Below are 6,506 nucleotides of genomic sequence, written 5' to 3'. Positions count from 1 at the left end.
AAATTCCTGTTCCTTGGAAATTGGTGATGTCTAGGTTGATAAATGTTTACTGGCTAATAAAATTGTCAATAACTTGCTTCTTATATAAATGAATGAATATGAATATGTAAAGAAGACCTATAAAAAAACTTTATACTAACAATCTCTTTCTCTTTTCTTCCTCTTGTCTATCTCTTTCTCCCTTGATCACACTTTCCCTATTTGTGTCTCTCCTTGTCCCTAAAAAGTAAAATGCTCTTACTGAGTAGAAGAAAACTTTGCTCTCAGAATTTGATTTGACTAGGAATCCTGAATCCCATTGACTTGATGTGACTTTGACAAGTCACTAAAAATTCCTGTTTTTCTGTTTCCTTACCTACAAATTATAGGTAACATTTATCTTATGTTTGCTCCAAATAATAAAATTATATGTTAATAAGATTAATTCTCTATCTGTAATATTCAAACATTAATGGACTCTGAATCCTACCTATGTTGCTTAAATATCTAATGATTCTGGTAACTCTTCATAATTTAGATTACCTTGGAAGTTCTGAATTAATGTATAATGGACTTGTTCATTAAAATTAATTGATGAATTCTGTATGTGCTTAGGCTTAAAAAAGATCATTTCATAGCAATGATTAGATTATGTTTTCCTGGTGTCTTGGACTATAAATTCCTTAGAACACGAATATTGTAGCCATCTTCAGATTGTCAAGACATATAGTAAGTGCAAAATATATGCTGAATAAATGAAAAGAAAATTGACATACAATAGAAGAGACCATTTAGTTTTATTAAACATCAAACATTTAAGCTGCTAAATTTAATGATTGAAAAATTTTAAAAGATAATTTATTATTTATGTTTCATCATCATACCAAAGTGATGCAGTTAAATCGCATCATCTCCTTCAATAACGTTTTATGAGAAATTCAGTGGCATTTCATATGAAAATGCTTTCTTAACCATTGGAAAATTGTTTTTGTATGGTTTTAATTTTTTTTGTATTGGTTTCAGGCATGAGACCAGGACTGCTGTCAGCTCTAGCTAGGGCTACATAAGATTCAGCCCTATATACAGATCTGAGGCTGACTTTCTGATTCATGGTATAATGAGAAATCAAGATATGATAAAATAGATTGAACATGACTCATTTCCAGATAATTTTAAGTTGAAAGCTAATCCTAGAAGTTCCAAAAATGTCTCTAGACGGTGACATAGTAAATGGATTCCTACATGAATTTTTTAAAGCTATGTCCAAATTGCTCAGTGAAGTACACAGTCATCCGCATATAGAAACTAATTTGTCTTACCTCCACTCAACAAATCCACTTGGTATAGTTCAATAAGTATTTTAAAATCACCTACTACATAATGATTCATGTTTTTATTTTTCCACAAGTTGGCTCTTGAGATAATGTACCTCTTTTATCTGTGTTTCAGCTTCTTATGAACAAAATGAGACAGTTGAAATAAATGAATTGTTAGGACTCTTCTCACTCCTTGTGTCCCTAAATCCTAAAAGTCTGATTGTTCTCATTACTTTGATAATGTGTTTTTATTGTTCTAAATTTTTGTAAGTTTGAATCCTTTGAAAAATTATTTATCTCTTATTTTTATGCCTCCTCATCAGTACAAGTCTAAGTCTAAGGTCCAAAGTCTTTGTAGTCTCCTTACTATATCCAATTTTTTAATTTATTCAGTTCCTGATTCTTTCTCACATGTTAGTATCCTCATTATACTCTTTGTGAGTTACATAGGTAATGGATATGAGCTGAAGTTAGTTGACCATGAGTTAAACTATTAAAAAATAATTTATAAAGCCAGAGAATATTTACAGATAATCTAGGTCAGTAATTCTCAAACTTTAGTGTGTATCAGATATATAATACATGGTGGGTTTTATTCAAATGTAGATAATTGGACCTCACACCTGAATTTTCTGATTTAATTGTTCTGGGTAGAGACCCCATAATTGACATTATTAATAAGTTCTCAAGTGATGATAATGATTATAGTCATCACTTGGTCAGGGGACCATATTTTAAGAACTATTTCTCTATGTTAACTTCCTTAGTAAGACGGAGTAATGGGTGGTCCACATTAACACAGCAAGTTAATATCAAGTGGGGTTTAAAATCATGTTCTGACACAATGCCTTGTCCAGTGTTCTCTTCCATTAAATTAATGCTTCTGAAGGTATATTCTGTGGAACATTACTTAGATGGAAAGTACACGCTCAAATAAATAATTATTAAGCAGGTATCATTGATAAATAAATGTGTTTGTAATTCCATTTGATCAGAATGCCTGTTTCTTCATATCTAAATCTTATAATTTAGCAAACGTTTACCAAGTCTTTCATTGCTATTTGAAAAAAAATTTTCCTTAGGTAATTTTCTTTTTTCTTTTGTTGCTTTATAATCTATTCTGCTGATATGCTTTCAAATTGATTTTAATTGCCCTTTTTCCTTACCAGTACTTCTCTCAGGTTAAAACCACAATTGTGAGCCACTGAAGCTGATCTGTTTCTAACTAAGAATGCTCAGTTTTCAACACAATAGTATGTATTTGCATCCAAGGGTCCTGAAGTCTGGGTAATGAATGAAATCACTGTCCATAGGTGGGCTTCACTTGGCAGGAGGAAAGTCAAACTAGGTATTAGTTTTGTTTTTTTAAGATTTTCTGTATCTGGTATCTGGGCCTTAATACCTTCAGTCAAGAAAGGTGCTACATGAATATCAAAGGATTGAAAAATGGTTAGCATGTCATACCAAAGATAAGATGATTTGGAACCCAGGTGAAGGAATGCCAGGAAAAGTGTTTTCCTATTTACGTTTTGGTAAACTAGTCCTTGTTCTGGGATAAAAAACAAAAATAAAAACAAACTATAAATAATGCATAAAGGATGCAACAACTCTTTTTGAATATGTAAATTTGGATGGAGAGGAGACAACTAGCTCCATTTTCCTAGATAGAAAAGGAAAGAAAAGCATCCAGGATTTGGTCAAGTCAGGGAGAAAAACATTCCGATACATTTATAAAGGCTGGGCTGTATAATGGAAAACATAACATGTAACTTTTGCAGGCAAATGGACCAATGCACAAATGATGTTTCCAAAATCTATTTGGTTAATACCTGGGCAAAATAGTGGAATATCTTGGACTCTCAACTTTCTCATCTGTGAAAAAGGATGTGAGTAACACTTTTTTTGCAGGCTGTAGTGTGGATAGCTCTTCTGAACTCAGAAGGAGATCTGGCTCTTGTTTTCTTGCAAACTCTCCAAACAGGACAAAGACTGTAGGAGACTAAACCACCTGTTCTTCAACATTATCCCACCGGGTTAATAGCATCACCTTAATACGGCAAACATACATTAAAATGTTAATAGATGCTTTGCTTTATGCTTTAAAAGGTATTACTGGCCAGGTGAGGTGGCTCATGCCTGTAATCCCAGCACTTTGGGAGTCCAAGGCGGGAGGATCACCTGAGATCAGGAGTTTGAGACCAGCCTAGCCAACATGGTGAAACTCTGCCTGTACTAAAAATACAAAAATTAGCTGGGCGTGGTGGTGGGTGCCTGTAATCCCAGCTATTCAGGAGGCTGGGGCAGGAGAATCACTTGAACCCGGGAGGCAGAGTTTGCAGTGAGCCTGGGAGACAAGAGTGAAACTCATCTCAAATAAATAAATAAATCACTGAACTTAAAAAAAAATCAAGAATCTGATGATGGATTACAAAAGCTGAAAATGTCACATATTTTAGGAAAATAATGCCTTTTCTGTCACATAACCCCTGGTCACTTAAACATATTTTTATTTTTTCCATCCAAAATTCAGGTTGTCCCAAACTGTGAAGTAGATGATCTAATATACATTAAATATCTTAGATCAAAGGAAAATGTGGAATGCCCTCTTAGAATTTGATATCTTTATTCAATTTCATAACTTTTCAATAACCTATGTTTTAACTAAGATGTTCTTTAATCTTCATTCTCTTTTTCTCTTGCCTTTTCTTATATTATTCTCTAGTTACATTTCAGTGCACTAGATGGCAAAATAAAGGAACTAGCATTAAATGATTGATTTAGTTACACATGGGTTTATCACAAAACTTTTACTCTCTTTGTAAAGGATGAAACCTTGACTCTGCTCCTCAGCCCATGTGAGTGCTAGGGCTCTAGGACATGTGACCGATGTCTCAGTCCTGCTAAGGGGACTATTTGACTCCAGAATATGGACCTCTGTGTTGGCATCTTGGCCTCCTTACGTACCCACACACTTCCTCTAAACTGTGCTCCAGGACTAACAAAGAAAGACCATGTCCCTACATATATCTAAGATTACTCAAGTCTAAACATCGTAGGGAAAAGATATAGGAATAATGTCACACTGAGGAAAATATAATTGCTATAAAACCTTCTAAGAGCTTTTTGAATCCAGAATTAAACTGGCCATGGACTCAAAGTGAAATGTCTATAATATAAATTGGATTATGTGATTCTTTCACCTGAAATCCTTCAGTGACATCCCATTGTTTTTAGGAGGGAGCCTGATTTCTTTTGGTTTTTACCAATTCCTTTATGACTTGGGCTCTGTTGTCTTTCAGGTTTATATAAGACCACTTTCCCATCAACACTTAAGCTCCAACCATGGGGAGTGTCCAACATTTTCTCCTATGGCCATGGTTTCTTGCCTCTGAACCTCTAGTTCAGTTCGCAAAGACTTGCTCAAGTATCGTCACCTAGTAGAAGCATTTTTTTTTTAAACCACATTTACCCGGATTAGGTACCTTAATCTCTCCTTGTTTCTTCCATAGTGTGTAGCATCGCATTGTCATTGAGTCTTTACCGGTAATTCTTTTCCAATAGTATGCAAATTTCACACCTCATTCATCTCCATGTCCTCAGAGCCTATTATATTATTTTGCAAACAGGAAGTGCTCAATAAATGTTCGAAAGGAGAAAATGCCTTCAATTATTCAGCGTGAATAATATTTCTTATTTTAGACCACTCTTCTTTTTATCCCTTCTAACATTTTATTTTTGGAAACTCTTCTCTCCCTCAACATCATTATTCCAAACCGCAAGTCACACTCAAGAATGATGTACTGAACAGGCATGGCCAGTGCTAAAATCTAGCTTTGCCATTAGGTGAATAGGCATGCCAAGGACATCCTTGGGCACAAGCAACATTATTATTCTTTTTTTTTTTTTTTTTTTTTGAGAAGGAGTCTCACTCTGTCCCCCAGGCTAGAGTGCAGTGGCGCCATCTCTGCTCACTGTAAGCTCCACCTCCCGGGTTCACGCCATTCTCCTGCCTCAGCCTCCCGAGTAGCTGGGACTACAGGCGCCCGCCACCACGCCCGGCTAAATTTTTTGTATTTTTAGTAGAGACGGGGTTTCACCGTGTTAGCCAGGATGGTCTTAATGTCCTGACCTCGTGATCCGCCTGTCTTGGCCTCCCAAAGTGCTGGGCTTACAGGCGTGAGCCACCGCACCTGGCCCCAACATTATTATTCTTTTAAGAAATGGTATCTGGCTGGGCACAGTGGCTAACACCTGTAATCCCAGCACTTTGGGAGGCCGAGATTGGTGGATCACCTGAGGTCAGGAGTTTAAGACCAGCCTGGGCAACATGGTGAAACCCCATCTCTACTAAAAATACAAAAATTAGCTGGGTGTGGTGTTGCATGCCTGTAGTCCCAGCTACTCGAGAGGCTGAGGCAGGAGAATCGTTTGAGCCCAGGAGGCGGAGATTGCAAGTGAGCCGAGATTGGGCCATTGCACTCTTGCCTGGGTGACAGAGCGAGTCTCCATCTCAAAAAAAAAAAAAAAGGAAATGATGTCTGTTATTTCAGACATAAACAACAAAATAGGTTTGGGGAAAATTAGAATATTGGCTGACTTGCTTACATATATAGTATGGTTTTATATTACTTTCATTTTAAATTATATATAAGGGTAAAAATATAGTTTAATATATAGGGGTAGAGAATCACCATAGTAATTTTAAGACTTGGCATCTAGTGGCCTTAACACAGTTTTGATGTTGCTAATTTATGAGGCTGAACTAATTATTCACCTTTCTATGGCTGAGTTTGATCTTATTTAGTAAATTAGTATAATAAAACCTTGCTCTCAGGGGTTTTGTGAAGAGCAATAAAATGACATGTGTGAGCAAACAGTGAGCAGTTGCTGGCATATATTAGATACTTTTTAAGTGCCAGTATTGATTTGTGTCCAATTTACTTCTACTTTTGTTTCTGAAAATTAAATTTTTAGTCATAAAAATAAGATGGCTTTCACACATTCCTCAATATTCTCTCTGAGTTCATATTTAATGATGACCAGAAGAATGAATTTAGAGAAGGTGTATTTCAAACACGTCAAATAGTGACCATGAAATCTCATGTTTAAATGAATGACTTCCATGTGCACACACACAGTACTCACAATTTGCATTGGGTTTTTCGTATACTTTAATCTAGGATATCTCTTTTACTAAGTTTGCTTTCCTAA

The sequence above is a fragment of the Homo sapiens genome, chromosome 11 (genome assembly GCF_000001405.40).
Source record: "Homo sapiens chromosome 11, GRCh38.p14 Primary Assembly".
Lineage (NCBI taxonomy): Eukaryota > Metazoa > Chordata > Mammalia > Primates > Hominidae > Homo > Homo sapiens.
This window is presented reverse-complemented; position numbering follows the sequence as displayed.